The sequence below is a fragment of the Homo sapiens genome, chromosome 9 (assembly GCF_000001405.40).
Source record: "Homo sapiens chromosome 9, GRCh38.p14 Primary Assembly".
In the NCBI taxonomy this organism is placed as follows: Eukaryota; Metazoa; Chordata; class Mammalia; order Primates; family Hominidae; genus Homo; species Homo sapiens.
In genome coordinates this window covers 113013646-113031365 of record NC_000009.12, presented here as the reverse complement: position 1 = coordinate 113031365, position 17720 = coordinate 113013646, and positions in this window count along the sequence as shown.

Here is a 17720-nt window from a genome sequence, read left to right as displayed (position 1 = left end):
TTATGCTTTTGCCTAATCTAAGTGGTATATTTTGAATGTGTGCCTCAAAATTCATGTGTTGGAATTTTGGTCCCTGGGTAGAGGTGTTGGGAGATGGAGCCTTTAAGAGGTGATTAGGTTGTTAAGAGGAATTAATGCCACTCTCCCGGGACTGGGTTAATTCTTGCTGAAGTGAGCAAGTTCTCACTCTTACAGGACTGAATTACTAACCACTAAAGCCAATTGTTATGGAGCAAGACCTCCCCTTGTGATTTGTGCCTTTCACATGCACTCATTTCCTCTTCCACGCCTCTGCCATGTTATAATGCAGCACAAGATCTCCCCAGAAACTGACCAGGTGCTGACACCCAATATTGGACTTCCCAGCTGCCAGAACCAGAACCCCTTGTGATAGTTTGCTGAGAATGATGGTTTCCAGCTTCATCCATGTCCCAACAAAGGACATGAACTCATCTTTTTTATGGCTGCATAGTATTCCATGGTGTATATGTGCCACATTTTCTTAATCCAGTCTATCATTGATGGACATTTGGGTCTTTGCTATTGTGAATAGTGCTGCAGTAAACATACATGTGCATGTATCTTCATAGCAGCATGATTTATAATCCTTTGGGTATATACCCAGTAATGGGATAGCTGGGTCAAGTGGTATTCCTAGTTCTAGATCCTTGAGGAATCGCCACACTGTCTTCCACAATGGTTGAACTAGTTTACAGTCCCACCAACGGTGTAAAAGTGTTCCTATTTCTCCACATCCTCTCTCCAGCACCTGTTGTTTCCTGGCTTTTTAATGATCACCATTCTAACTGGTGTGAGATGGTATCTCATTATGGTTTTGATTTGCATTTCTCTGATGGCCAGTGATGATGAGCATTTTTTCATGTGTCTGTTGGCTGCATAAATGTCTTCTTTTGAGAAGTGTCTGTTCATATCCTTTGCCCACTTTTTGATGGGGTTGTTTGATTTTTTCTTGTAAATTTGTTTAAGTTCTTTGTAAATTCTGGATATTAGCCCTTTGTCAGATGGGTAGATTGTAAAAATTTTCTCCCATTCTGTAGGTTGCCTGTTCACTCTGATGGTAGTTTCTTTTGCTGTGCAGAAGCTCTTTAGTTTAATTAGATCCCATTTGTCAATTTTGGCTTTTGTTGCCATTGCTTTTGGTGTTTTAGTCATGAAGTCCTTGCCCATGCCTATGTCCTGAATGGTATTGCCTAGGTTTTCTTCTAGGGTTTTTATGGTCTTAGGTCTAACATTTAAGTCTTTAATCCATCTTGAATTAATTTTTGTATAAAGTGTAAGGAAGGGATCCAGTTTCAGCTTTCTAAGTATGGCTAGCCAGTTTTCCCAGCGCCATTTATTAAATAGGGAATCCTTTCCCCCATTTCTTGTTTTTGTCAGGTTTGTCAAAGATCAGATGGTTGTAGATGTGTGGTATTATTTCTGAGGGCTCTGTTCCATTGGTCTATATCTCTGTTTTGGTACCAGTACCATGCTGTTTTGCTTACTGTAGCCTTGTAGTATAGTTTGAAGTCAGGTAGTGTGATGCCTCCAGCTTTGTTCTTTTGGCTTAGGATTGTCTTGGCAATGTGGGCTCTTTTTTGGTTCCATATGAACTTTAAGGTAGTTCTTTTCCAATTCTGTGAAGAAAGTCATTGGTAGCTTGATGGGGATGGCATTGAATCTATAAATTACCTTGGGCAGTATGGCCATTTTCATAATATTGATTCTTCCTATCCATGAGCATGGAATGTTCTTCCATTTGTTTGTGTCCTCTTTTATTTCATTGAGCAGTGGTTTGTAGTTCTCCTTGAAGAGGTCCTTCATATCCCTTGTAAGTTGGATTCCTAGGTATTTTATTCTCTTTGAAGCAATTGTGAATGGGAATTCACTCATGATTTGGCTGTTTGTCTGTGAAATTTAATGTATTTCTATGTAATCCAAAGTCATTTGTAGGCTTTAAAAGTGTAGTTTTCTATAAAGTGGTAAGAAGGGCACCAGAATAACACAAAAGAGGGCAGCAAAGTGGCAGCTGACAGGCTTGCCATGCTACACACTTGAGTAGTTCTGCACATGGAACTCCTGTTTACACACTTCTGTTAGTTTTAACTCAGTACAGTATTGAGACAAATACTGTTATGCATAGCATAAGTTCTTTGTTTCCTTGTGGTGATCACAGTGAATTTTTTAAAGCTTTTATTGGATGTTTCTGCCACACAGGAATTTTGTTAAGCAATTTAGCATATACTTCTTTAATTTTAAAAACAGGGTCTTGCTCTGCCACCCAGGCTGGAATGTGGTGGCACAATCATAGCTCACTGCTGCCTCAGCCTCCTGGGCTCAAGCCTCAGATTGTGAAATAGCTGGGGCCACAGGTGTGCATCACTGCACCCAGCTATATATTTTTTTATTTTTTTGTAAAGATGGGGTCGCACATTGGTGCCCAGGCTGATCTCAAACACCTGGGCTCAAGCAGTCCTCCTGCCTCATCCTCCCAAAGTACTGGGATCATAGGTGTGAGCCACTGCACGTGACCTATACTTCTTATTTAATTATTACAAATCTGTGGTCTGTGAGGTACAGCAAATCTGTGAGACTGGCATTTTCTCCATTTTGTAGATGAAGCAAGTAGAGCCCAGGAAGAGTCCCTGCCCCCGCTAAGGCCACATGGCTAGTAAGTGTAAGATGGTGCTTCAGACCAAGTTTTTAGCCCCCACACTGTTCTGTTCCACTGGGCACATGGAAGGATAGGTGCCACATCACCTCAACTCCAAACGTTATTGAATTTAATTTGATCAGGCATCATGGCATTTTGTATCCTCTCCCTGCATTTTGTTCAACAAGTTAACAAGAAACATGTATTTTAAAACCATTATTAGATTCATATTCCTTATATGTAGAAGGTATTGGAAATGTTATATTTTGGGGGTATTGCTTCAGGTATGTCAGTTTTACTGCCCTACAAATTTCCTTTTGACCAGCCTGAACATTGGAAGTTATACCATTATTTTTTAGTTTGAAAAAAATAATCTTTCCTTCATTGAGCTGTCATTTTATTTTCAGAACTTTTCCTACAAATTGTGTCATTATCTAAGGCATGATTGCCTTTTGAAGCATAACCTAATCTTACATGTTATAAATTTTCATTGTCAAGTAATACGAAAAGGATTGGTATCAAAAAACCTTTTAAGCCTTTTCTTGAGTGAAGATGAAATTGATATACCCTATTGAACTTGAACCCAGTTTTTCTTACATCAAATTTTTCTTTTGTAGGTTTATAAATTAAAAATAGTGTTTTTAAATTGAACATAGTGAATAATAACTATGATTTTTAATTTAAATTTAAAAAATTAAAATTTCAAGTAATGATTTTTAACTAAGTCTGTTGCAGTCATGATCTGGGTAATGGTTGTATTAGTCACTTTTGAAGATGAAATGTTGGGGTGGGACTGTAAATCATGAGACTGGTTTTCTAAACATGTCACACTGAAATACCTGTATCTGTCTTGCTCTTCAACATTGTCATTTTTGGAAAATAAATGATAATGCAGATTATGCAGTGTCACCAATAATTTGTGGAACACCTGTCTTTTAGAATTTCCTGCAGATCCAGTTTACTATTATGTTTCATATGAAACCAAGTAATATTTTCAGAAAGCAATTATTATTAGAATTTATTGTCTTTCTTGTCCTTATCCTGCCCACATAGTCATCACCACCATTTCTATTAATTCTGTGCATGACTTCAGCAAGAAGAAAGCCCATGCCCCTTCTATAGTCATTTCTGGTCTCAGAATATCCAATATCTTTATTTCACCATTTTGCCTTCTACTTCATGGTCTCTTGCTAGTATTGCAATGAACATCAAATAGGTAGGAAATTCTTGTGCTTCTCCTCTTTACTTTTCTCCCAAAATATTTGACATCTAAGCCTTATTTACATTTTTTCTCTTTAAAATACTGCCTCCTTCCTACTTCAGTAATTTTACTATTACTAATTGTCTTAGCCCATTTTCTCTGGTATAACAGAATACCACAGACTGTGTAATTGATAAAGTTTATTTGGCTCATAGTTCTGGAGGCTGGGAAGTCCAAGATTGAGGATCCACATCTGGTGAAGACCTTCTTGCTGCATGCTAACTTGGAAAAGTATCACATGGTGAGAAGGAAGGAGCATGAAAGATAGATGAAAGTGGGGGCAAAATGTATCCTTTTATTGGGAGTTGACTCCTCGTAAACTATCCCAATTCTATAGTAATGGCATCAGTCCGTTCATGAGAGCAGAGCCATTATGAGCTAATCACCTCTTATCCCTTTTCCCATTTGCCCCAAGAATACTCATCAGCAGTGCTTGCAGCTGCAGCATTTACCCCAAGATAACATTGCCATGAAATATCTCACTTTTATTATATTTTCACATTGCCCTCATATATGAACTTTGGAAACAAAAGACATTATTTTATTTATAGCCTTCTGTTTTTAGTAGTGCTATTTCCATTTACAAAATATAGTAATTCTCAATCACTGGAAAGGTCAAATCCTAGAAAATGTAGCATTCCTATGTGTGATGTTAACATTGCTCTCAAACAGTTGTTAGCTGAAGATATATTTGATGAATCTGATTTTTCCAAAATAGATGATTCTGATGATTCAGAAGATTCTGCTGTTAGTTCTGTTTAGAAGTGACTCCAGTAACAGTTTTGTATTTTATTTTCACATTGAAAATCAGTCAGATTTGCTTTAGCTTGAAAGAGTATATTTATGTAAAATTAAGCAAGCACTGGCAGTGAGCTGCACTTTTTTTTTTTTCCAAATAGGAAAGAGGCTAAAGGCTCTACTTCCCAGTACCATTATACTGGCAATTAAATTTGAACATGAATTTTGTAGAGGTTGTTCCAATTATAGCACTTATGTATACTGGCCTCTGAGTCAGTTACCATTCTCATTTTAAACAACTGAGATTTGAGTCACAAAGAAAATAACTTGTTAAAGTTGCACAAGAAAGCACAGCTCATACCTAGAGACTCTGAAACATTGCACTATACGTAAACTCTTACAGATATTTCAAAAATTTCAGGCAGAATTAAAAGTTGTAACAAATGGGACTACCTTAGTGCTAAAAATATGGTAAAAATTGTTTGCAAATTAAATGACTAAATAGTTAATTATGCCTTCCAATGAGATGCTAATGTTTATTTTAAATGTATGTACTGATGTGTATAGATATGCTGATGCTTAGGTGTTACATTTATTTAAAATTCTAGTTCAAGGTCTTACCATTTTCACAGTTGAATCTACCCTATTTCAGACATTCTTAGGGTATAACAGATTGAAATGGAATTATGCAAGTGTGTGGTGAATGGGATAGGAGGGAGTCACACTGCAGACTATTTTTTTTCTGACAAGGTGCAGAAAATGGAATTTCAAAACCCCTTTGGTAGCTTAGGTAGAGATTAGTCAAGACAGTATGGCTCTTGCAGAATAGCTTCTGAGCTGGACGGAGGAATTACAAACGGCCTATTTCATTTTTAAAGTTCTTACTAACCAAACTGAGTACTCAAATCCTGGAAAGGAACAAAGAAGTGTATTCATTGTCATGAACAGTAAAGTAGAACCAACAATTCCCCTTTGCTTGCATTCTGATTTCAGGGCATATTGTATTATCCAAAGGCAAAAGACGGATAAGCAAGACATCCATGAATATTTTAGGCTTTACCAAGGCTCCTTTTTGGAGGACATTAGATTAGAATTGGGTCTTGGCAGCATCTTAAAAACAAAAAGCATGCCAACCTCATCACCAAGACTCAATCACTTTGTGGTGTTGACACACACACTCTTAATTGCTATCTTCTTTAGCACTAGATATTCAAGGTTTGGAGGATTTTCTATGCAGAAGATTCATTTTTGTTGTCTCATGTACCACGAAAACACAGAGGAATAGGTATTTCATCATTACTTGCTTAATTGCTTTATCTTATCTAGTGAAACAAAGTTTAATGAATAAAGAAGTGAAAATGTCTTGTGGCTACATTGTGCTGTTTAAAACTTTACTAAAAGCAATATTTGCTTAAAACAGCACATTCTAAGTAAAAATGTATATGCAAAATGACTTTAATCAATATTTTATCTAGGGTGAAACAGCCAAGCAATAGTTTGTAGAAAATTTTTGTACATTAGCAGAAAGTTGGGGGCAGGGGTGGGTGTCAAACAATAAAGAACTAAAACAATCATGGTTCCGGATTTTGCAGGTTAACTGCAATTGCTTGGGGGAGACAGAGGAAGAAAAATCTGTAGAACGTTTCCCTTCTTTAACTAAAAAAAGCAATTGAATTCAAATGTAACTATGCAAGGTGTCTTTTTAATATGGTTATAGTGTTTTAAAAATACTAGTTTGTGATGTAAAGGAAATGAAGATATTTTAAATCACAGAATAAATTAATACCACGTAATAGGATTGAAGTGGAAAGGGAAATGCCAAGACTGAAATGTTGACCATATAAGAATAGCTTTATTTAAAGATATGTCTTAAATGACATTCTTGCTCTCATCATTCCTATCAGTCATTGTTTCTTCCTCCTTCCCTGAGTTTTCTGTCCTCTCTGGCCTAAAATAGCTGCAAGCTGTCAGAGCTGCCCCAAAATGCCTTGAGGAATATTCATAAAGACCATCAGAAGAGATGTGGAATTTTGTCAGTCAGGGCAGAGACCTTAAAAAAAAATAGCCACAAATCCACTTCCAGAATGGTGGTAGGAGGTCTGAGTTCCTTTTTCCCAGTAAAGCAAACATAACTCGTGACATTTGTAATATTATAATTTAAAGACACTCAAAATTGTCCTAAGGGAACACAGCAAAGGAAAAAACATTTATTCAAGAAAATCTAAATCTCATTAAGGACAGTGGGAATCTGTAGCATGTGTGCCATGACCCATCTTCTCCTTCCCACTTTCCTACTTCATCTATCATGGAAGCTCCACTCTAGGAAGTGGCTAAGAAGATAGGGCTCCTCCAGTGTCCAATCAAGTAATAGTACGTCCTCCCCCACCCCATGAGGGGCAGGCCACCAAAATTTCTCATCCCCTCACCACCAGGTCCACACTGTGAAAGCTAAATTTCAGGCAAAAACAGCTGAGAGGTCAAGCGCTTCTTTCTTCCACTGACCCCTTTACACAAGCCAGAGGTTTTACCCTATCCATGACAGGTATTGAATACTGGGGCACCAATCACCCTTGCTTCAGCTTACTCATCCAGGAAGTTCCGTGGCAGGAGAAGCAAGCTGAGAACAGAAACTACCACACCCATACAGTACCTTCTCACAAAACAGGAGTGTTACTGCAGGAGAAGTGGGCCACTGTCCTCCAACCCTAGCTCTAAAGCAACGACTCAGAGATTCTGTCCAGAGGACAGGAAGACCGTAAGAACAGACAGCACTCAAGCTGACCTTTCCCCCCCCTCCAAAATTGACTTCATTTAGAACAGAGTGAAGGGAAATTCAAGCCTAAGTGTGCTCTCAAACACAACAGAGATTTTGGCAATAAGTATTTAAGAGGAATCCAGTAGCTCCGTGAAGACAATAAGCCCAAACTGTAACCCATTTAGTTTACCAGACAGAAGGAGGGAAAGAGACACCTAGAAGGGCCCTCCTGGAGTCTGAAAAAAACCTTAAAGATAGGCCTCAAAAGCTACCTCTAAAAAGACTGGAGCAACTTATGCTTCAGGGTATTGCTGAAAACAATAGAACAGCAGCTGGCAACTTGTGGAGCCTAACAGCTGGATGTGATACCAACTGAGGCAGATGGCTTAACAGAGAGATTTGATGAAGACAGAGACAACTCTGCTAAATCCATTGTCATCCCAGAGTGACTGTACTTATGCCCAAGGCTGAACCCTCTGATAAGTTACATCAGAGACTTCACACTATGGGGGAAATATTTTGACTAAAATTGTCTAGCCAAGTTGTTAAACAAGTAAACAAGCAAACAGCAAACCCTGGGAGGAATCCATATCTAAACTTGCTATGATATATTATCTAAATCATCTACTTTTTGAAAAAAATTATGAGACATGAAAATAATCAGAATGATGTAACCCATACACAGGGGAAAAGCAAGCTATAGAAACTGTGAGAAGACACATATGTCAGACAATACACAAAGACTTCAAATCAGCCATTATAAACGTGCTCAAATAGTTAAAGGAAATTATACCTAAAGAAGTGAAGGATGTTATGACAACCTCATCAAATACAGTATATCAACAGAGACGAAAATGATAAATAAGCAGAATATTTCAGAGTTGAAAAGTATAATTTAAATGAAAAAAATCACTAGTTGTGATTACAGTAGATTTCAACTGGCAGAGGAAAGGATCAGTGAACTTGAAGATAGAGTGACAGAGATTATGAAATTCAGAAAACAGATGGAAAAAAGAGTGAAGGTAAATGAACACAGCCTCAGAGAAGAGTGGGATATCATTTAGCACATCAACATATATATAATGAAAATTTCAGGACAAGAGAAGAGAAAGAAAAATATATGAAAAAAGTGATGGTTGAAAACTTCCCAAATTTGATGAAAAACATTAAAATACATACCTAAGAAACTCAATGTCCTCCAAAAGGGATACATGCAAAGAGAACTACACCCATTGATATGATTTGGCTTGCTCAAATCTCAACTTGAATTGTAATCCCCATGTGTCAAGGGTGGGACCTGGTAGGAGGTGATTGGATCATGGGGGTGGATTTCCCCTATGCTGTTCTCGTGATAGTGAGTTCTCATAAGATCTGATGGTTTAAAAGTGTGGCACTTACTCCCTCACTCTCTCTCTCTCCTGCCACCATGTAAGACATGCCTTGCTTCCCCTTCACTTCTTTTTTTTTTTTTTTTTTTTTTTTTTTTGAGACAGAGTCTTGCTCTGTCACCCAGGCTGGAGTGCAGTGGTGTAATCTCGGCTCACTGCAACCTCTGCCTCCCAGGTTCAAGCAATTCTCCTGCCTCAGCCTCCCGAGTAACTGGGATTACAGGCATCCACCGCTATACCTGGCTAATTTTTGTATTTTTAGTAGAGACAGGGTTTCACCATATTGGCCAGACTGGTCTTGAACTCCTGACCTCATGATCTGCCCACCTCAGCCTCTCAAAGTGCTGGGATTACAGGCATGATCTACCACACCTGACCTACCCTCTACCTTTTTGCCATGATTGTAAGTTTCCTGAGTCTTCCCCAGCTATGCAGAACTGTGAGTCAATCAAATCTCTTCTCTTTATAAATTACCCAGTCTCAGGTAGTTCTTTATAGCAGTGTGAAAACTGACTAATACACCCAGATACATTATATTAAAATGTTGAAATACAGAGAAAATATTGAAAGCAACAAGAGAAAAACAACTTGTCATTAAAAGGGAGCCCTTATAAAATCAACAGCTGACTCCTCATCAGAAAAAAAATGGAGGCTACGATGCAGTGGGATGGCACATTTAAAGTCCTAAAAGAATTCTTGGCCAAGAACGGTGGCTCATGCATATAATCCCAACACTTCTGGTGGCTGAGATGGGAGGATTGCTTGAGCCTAGGAGTTTGAGTCCTGGGCAACATAGCGAGATCCTGTTTCTACCCAAATTTTAAAAATTAACCAGGTGTGGTGGTGTGCACCTGTAGTCTCAGCTACTTGAGAGGCTGAGGTGAGAGGATTTCTTGAGCCTGGGAAGTTGAGACTGCAGTGAGCCATGAATATGTCACTGCTCTCCAGCCTGGCAACAGAGCAACACCCTACCTCATAAAGAAAATTGTCAACTAAGAATTTTATATCCAGCAAAACATAAAACATTTATCTTTCAAAAATGAATGCAAGAGATAATTCATTACTAACTGAGCCACCTTACAAGAAATAATAAAGGAAGTTCTTCAGGCTGAAAGCAAGCGACCCAAAACACTAATTTGAAAATTTGAATCTATATGCATACATTCGTGCATATGCACACACACACACAGAGAGAGAGAGAGAGAGAGAGAGAGAGAGAAAGAATAATAAAGGTAATTTTTTTAAAAAAACTATATTACCAAGGACAAAAACAGACAATGGTTAATTCATAAAAACATAGCTAGCAATCCTAATTAAGGGTGACTACACCTAATTAAAGAGTTTCAAAATAAAGAGAAAAAAATGACAGAATATAAAGTAGAGTCAGACAGACTTACAGTTATAGAGCTCAGCACTTCTTTCCCAATAGTGATAGAACAAGTAGACGAAAAGTCAGCAGGAAGGTGATAGACATGACCAATCCTATCAAATTCATTTAATTGACATTTATAAACATTCCACTCAACATTTGCATACTATATGTTATTTCAAGTGCACCTGAGACATTCAACAAGTAAGACCATTTTCTGAATGACTTTTTAAAAGTCATAATACATTTTAAAATATTGAAAAGATTCAGAATATATTCTGTGAACAAACAGGATTAAGCTGAAAACCAGTAACCCAAAGATAACTGCAGTGCCCTCAAATATGTGGAAATTAAACATCACAATTTTGAATCACTCATGAGTCAAAAGATACAAGACAATCAGAAAATGTTTGGATAATACTGAAATGAAATAAAAAAAACAAAAAAAATATTGGGATGCCCTGGTGCACAGCTTAGAAAAACAATTATAGCTTTATATGTTTTGTTAGAAGAGAATAAATGTCTAAAATCAATGATGTAAGCTTCCACCATATGAAGAAAGAAAAATGCAAACAAATTAAACCAAAATTAAGTAGGAGGATATCAGTAATAAATATAAGAGCACAAATGAGTGAAGTAGAAAAGGGGTCAGACAACTGGCCGAATTGGTCCAGTGACCTGTTTTCATAGAGGTCTTAAATTAAGCATCATGTTTGCATTTTTTGAAGGCATGTAAAACAAAGCAAACAATATAAACTATGAAATTTGACAGCTTAGATGAAATGGAAGATTTTCTTTAAAAATATTTTACCAAAACAGGGTATAGAAGAAATAGAATGCCTAAGTGGCCCAATAACAGTTAAATAAATTGAAGCAGTAATTTTAAATTTTCCCCAAAAGAAAACTCCAGGTCTAGATGGCTTCACTAGAGTATTCTGTCAAATACTTAAGGAAGAAATAATACCAATCCTATAAAAACTCTTTGAGAAAGTAGAAGAGAATTAAATACTTTTCATCTCATTTTAGTGGATCAGTATTATCCTGAAAGCAACATCAAAGACATCATAAATAGGAAAACCTCCAAATCAATATCCTGGATGACTATAGATTTATAAATTCTCTAGAATTTAGTACATTAATTAGTATATTGAATCCATTAATACATAAAATGTAGAAATTTGTTCTGATTAATTGGAATGGCATTTCAGAAATGCAAGTTTTTAATTTAATTGTGAAAATAATGTAATTTAGCATGATAAAGTAATGCAAAAACTTACACAATTATGTCTATAGAGGCATACAAACATTTTACAAAATTCAACATCTATTCATGATGAAAACTCTGAACAAATGAACGAGAGATTGTAAGTTTTTTTTCTACCCGTATCAGTTTTCTGGTTACTGCTTTGTATGTAAGATCAAAAACAGAAAAAAATTATCTGTTCTCATTTTTATTCAACACTGTAATATAAATCCTGGCCAGTGTAGTAAGAGAAGAAAAATAAATGAAAAGCAGACAAGTTGAGAAGGAAGAAGTAACACTTACTTATTCACATCAATATGATCATAGACATATAAAATCCTAAGGAATCTACAAGTATTAACCAAAACTAATAAATAAATTTATCAAGTTCCCAGGGTAAAAGGCCAATACACAAAAAGCAATTGTAAGCCAGACATGGTGGCTCACACCTGTAATTCCAGCACTTTGGGAGGCTGAGGCAGGCAGATTGCTTTGAGTTCAGGAGTCCTAGACTAGCCTGGGCAACATGGCAAAACCCCATGTCTACAAAAAAATACAAAAATTAGCCAGACATTGGTGGCTTGCACCTGTAGTGGCAGCTACTCAGGGGGATAAGAATGGAGAGTCGCTGGGCACAGTGGCTCACACCTGTAATCCCAGCACTTTGGGAGGCCAAGGAGGGTGGATCATGAGGTCAAGAAATCGAGACCATCCTGGCCAACATGGTGAAACCCCATCTCTACTAAAAATACAAAAATTAGCTGGGCTTGGTGGTGCATGCCTGTCATCTCAGCTACTTGGGAGGCTGAGGCAGGAGAATCACTTGAACCCGGGAGGCAGAGGTTGCAGTGAGCCGAGATCGTGCCACTGCACTCCAGCCTGGTGACAGAGCGAGACTCTGTCTCAAAACAAAAGACTGGAGAGTCACTTGAGCCCAGGAAGGGGAGGTTGCAGTGAGCCAAGATCACACCACTGTACTCCAGGCTGAGCAGCAGAGCGAGACTCTGTCTCAAAAAAATAAAAAAGTAATTGTATTCTACATATTAAAAATAAAATATTAAAAAATAAAATTTAACAATCCAATTACAACAGCATGTTAGATGATAAAATAGGAGTAAATTAATGAAGATAAGCTCTGAAAACTATAAAACATTGCTGAGAGAAATTTTTTAACTTTTATTTTAAGTTCAGGGGTACATGTGCAGGCTTGTTATATAGGTAAACTCATGTCATCAAGGTTTGTTGTACAGATCATTTCATCACCCAGATATTAAGCCTAGTATCCATAAGTTATTTTTCTTGATCCTCTCCCTCCTCCCACCCTCCACTCTGCAGTAGGCCCCAATATGCGTTGTTTCCCTCTATGTGTTCATGTGTTCTGATTATTTAGTTTCCACTTAAAGGTGAGAACATGCAATGTTTGTTTTTTTTGTTTCTGCATTAGTTTGCTAAGGATGATAGCCTCCAGCTCCATCAGTGTTCCTGCAAAGGACATGACCTCATTCTTTTTCATGGCTGCATAGTATTTCATGGCATATATGTACCACATTTTCTTTATCCAGTCTACTGTTGATGGGCACTTAGGTTGATTCCATGTCTTTTGCTATTATAGCGCTGAAATGAACATACGCATGCATGTGTCTTTATGATAGAACAATTTCTTTTCTTTTCTTTTCTTTTTGAGGCAGAGTTTTGCTCTTGTTGCCTAGTCTGAAATGCAATGGTGTGATCTCGGCTCACTGCAACCTCCACCTCCCGGGTTCCTGCCTCAGCCTCCTGAGAAGCTGGGATTACAGGCATGCACTCTGGCGACTAGGTTCATTGTCACTGAGCAGTAATATTTTGAAAGGAATCTTTCTCTGAGCAACAGTTCTCAACAATGGGCTTAATATATTCAGTAAACCATGCTATAAACCAGTGTCATCCTGGCTTTCTTGCTTCATTTGTAGAGCACAGAGTATATTTAGCAAAATTCTTAAGGGCCCTAGGATTTTTAGAATGCTAAATGAGCATCGGCTTCAACTTAAAGTTACCAGCTACATTAACCTGTAACAAGAGAGTAAACCTGTCCTTTGTAGCTTTAAAACCAGGCATTGACTTCTCTCTAGCTAAGAAAGTCCTAGACGGCATCTTCTTCCAGTATAAGGTTATTTCATCCACACTGAAAATCTATAGTTCGGTGTAGCGACCTCCTTCAATCATCTTAGCTAGATCTCCTGGATAACTTTCTGTAGCTTCTAAATCAGCATTTGCTTCTTCATCTTGCACATTTATGTTATAGAGAACACTGCTTTCTTTAAACCTCATGAACTAATCTCCACTAGCTTCCAAATTTTCTTCTGCAGCTTCCTCACCTCTCTCAGGCTTCATAGACTTGAAGAGAGATAGAGCCTAGCTCTGGATTAGATTTTAGCATAAGGGGATGTTGTGAATGGTTTAATCTTCTATGTAGACCACTAAAACTTCCTCTATATCAGCAATAAGCCTTTTTTTTTTTTTTTTTTTTATCATTTGTGTGTTCACTGGAGGAGCGCCTTTAATTTCCTTCAAGAGCTTTTCCTTTGCATTCACAACTTGACTAATGGCTTGGCACAAGAGGCCTAGCTTTTGGCTGATCTTGGCTTTTTATATACCCTCCTCTCCAAACTTAATCATTTCTAGCTTTTAAAAAAATTGTTGGCCAGGCGCGGTGGCTTACGCCTGTAATCCCAGCACTTTGGTAGGCCGAGGTGGGCAGATCACGAGGTCAGGAGACTGAGACCATCCTGGCTAACATGGTGAAACCCCGTCTCTACTAAAAATACAAAAAAAAAAAAAAAATTAGCCAGGCATGGTGGCGGTCGCCTGTAGTCCCAGCTACCTGGGAGGCTGAGGCAGGAGAATGGTGTGAACCTGGGAGGCGGAGCTTGCAGTGAGTCGAGATCGTGCCACTGCACTCCAGCCTGGGCAATAGAGTGAGACTCTGTCTCAAAAAAAAAATTGTTAACAATTTTTGTAGACAGGATATTACTGTGTTGCTTAGGGTGGTCTCAAACTCCTGGACTCAAGTGACCCTCCTGCCTCTGACTCCCAAAGTGCTGGGATTATAGGCATGAGCTACCACACCTGGCTTAGCTTTTGATTTAAAGGGAGAGATGTGTGACTTTTCCTTTCACTTAAACACTTACAGGCCATTATAGAGTTATTAATTGGCCTAATTAATCAATATTGTTTTATCTCAGGGAATAGAAAGGCCCAAGGAGAGAAAAAGAGATGGCAGAATGGCCAGTAGGTGAAGCAGTCAGAACACACACAACATTGATTAGGTTGGCTGTCTTATATGTGCATGGTCTGTGGCACTCCAAAACAATCACAATAATAACATCCATAATTGCTGACCAGAGATCACCATAACAGATATAATAATAATGAAGAACTTTGGAATATTGTGAGAATTACCCAAATGTGACACAGAGACATCAAGCAAGCACATACTGTTGGAATAACGGTACCGATAGCCTTGCTCAGTGCAGGTTGCCACAAACCTTCAATTTGTAAAAATGCATTATCTGCTAAGTGTAATAAAGTGAAGCACAGTAAATAAGGTATGCCCATATATAGAAAACTTTAAGAAGTCTACAAAAAATTCTTAGAATTAACAAGCAAATTCTTTACTGAATTTGCAGGATATAAAAAAACTTGCAGGATACAAAATCGACATGTAAAAATCAGTTGTGTTTCTATACACTAACAATAATCTATTCAAAAAGGAAATTAAGAAAACAATTCCATTTACAATAGCATCAAAAAGAATAAAATACTTAGAATAAACTTATCAAAGGAAATAAAAGACGTAGACATGGAAAACTACACAACATTGGGAAATTTTGAAAGACATGTAAATGGAAAGACATCCTATATTTGTGAATTGGAAGAATTACTATTGTTAAAACATCTGTCAGTCTATTTGGTGCTGCTATAACAGAATATGATAGACTTGGTCATTTATAATGAACAGATATTTGTTGTCTCACAGTTCTGGAAAATGGAAAGTCCAATATCCAAGTTTCAGCATCTAGATAGGCCCTTTTTGCTATATCATTACATGATGGAAGGCATCACATGACAGAAGGGCAAAGAGAGAAGAGCAAAGGGGAGGCAAATGCACTTTTTTTTTTTAAAAGTATAGTTAGGCTATTTCATTTTATTATACTTTCAGTTCTAGGATACATGTGCACAACGTACAGATTTGTTACATATGTATACATGTGCCATGTTGGTGTGCTGCACCCATTAACTCGTCATTTACATTAGGTATATCTCCTAATGCTATCCCTCCCCGCCCCACCCCATGACAGGCCCCAGTGTGTGATGTTCCCCTTCCTGTGTCCAAGTATTCTCATTGTTCGATTCCCACCTATGAGTGAGAACATGCGGTGTTTGGTTTTTTGTCCTTGAGATAGTTTGCTGAGAATGATGGTTTCCAGCTTCATCCATGTCCCTACAAAGGACAGGAACTCATCATTTTTTATGGCTGCATAGTATTCCATGGTGTATATGTGCCACATTTTCTTAATCCAGTCTATCATTGATGGACATTTGGGTTGGTTCCAAGTCTTTGCTATTGTGAATAGTGCCGCAATAAACATACGTGGCAAACGCACTTTCTTGATAGATAAAGGCATTAGTCCATTCATGAGGGCACAGCTCTCACAACCTAACCACCTCTTTAAAGTCCCACCTGTCAATACTGTCACAATGGCAATTAAATTTCAACATGAGTTTTGAAGAGGACAAAGATTCAAAGCATAGCAATGTCCATACTTCCAGTAGTGCCCTATAGATACAGTGCAATCACTAGTAAAATCCCAACGGCATTTTTTTTTTTACAGAAAAAATCCTGAAATTCATTTGGAACCACAAAAGACTCAAATAACCAAGGAAAATTTGAGCCAGACTAACAAAGCTGGAAATATCATACTCCCTAATTTCCAAATATATTATAAAGCTACATTAATCAAAACAGTGTATGACTAGCATAAAAACAGACGTCTAGACAAATGGAACAGAATAGAGAGCTCAGAAATAAACCCACAATGATGAAAAGATAGTCTCTTCAATAAATAGTGTTGGAAAAATTGGATAGCCACATGAATGAAACTGGACTCTTATGTTATACTACATGCAAACATTAACTCAAAATTGATTAAAGTCTTAAACATAAAACCTGAAGCAATAAAACGTTTAGACAAAAACATGGGGGAAAATATTCTAGACATTGTGCTGGCCAATGATTTATTGGATATGACACCAAAGTGGGATTATACCAAGTGGGATTACATCAAACTAAAAACCTCCTGCACTGGCCGGGTGCAGTGGCTCACGCCTGTAATCCCAGCACTTTGGAAGGCTGAGGCGGGTGGATCACGAGGTCAGGAGTTTGAGACCAGCTTGACCAACATGGTGAAACCCCATCTCTACTAAAAATACAAAAATTAGCCGGGTGTGGTGGCGTGCACCTGTAATCCCAGCTACTCAGGTGGCTGAGGCAGGAGAATCGCTTCAAACCAGGAGGTGGATGTTGCAGTGAACTGAGATCATCACGCCACTGCACTCCAGCCTGGGCGACAGAGCAAGACTCCATCAAAAAACCAAAACCAAAAAAAAAAAAACAAAAAAAACAAAAACCCTCCTGCGCAGCAAGAAACAACAAAATAAAAAGATAAAAAAGCAACCAACAGAATTTATTTTTTGGAGAAAATATTTTCAGACCATATATCTGATAAGAGGTTAATATCCAGAGAGTTAATATCTGCCTGACAAAGGAATTCCTATGCATCAATGGCAAAAAACAAATAACCCAATTAAAATTGGGTGAAGCATCTGCATAGTCATTTTTCCAAAGAAGACATACAAATAGCCAACAGGTATATGAACAAGTGCTCAGTATCACTAGTAATCAGGGAAATGCAAATCAAAACCACAATGAGTTATCACCATACTTCTGTTAAAATAGCTATTATAAAAATAAATACATAACAGATGATGTAGAGGAAACAAACCCTGTGTACTATTAGTAGGAATGTAAATTGGTCCAGCCACTATGGAAATCAATATAAATGTACCTCTAAATATAGAATTACCCTTTGATCCAGCAATCTCACTTTTGGGTATATATCCGGAGGAATGGAAATCTGGATCTCAAAGAGATATCTGCACTTCCACGTTTATTGCAGCAGTATTCACAGTAGCCAAGATATGGAAACAACCTAAATATCTATTGGTGGACAAGTAAAGAAAATGTGGTATATACATATAATGGAATATTATTCAG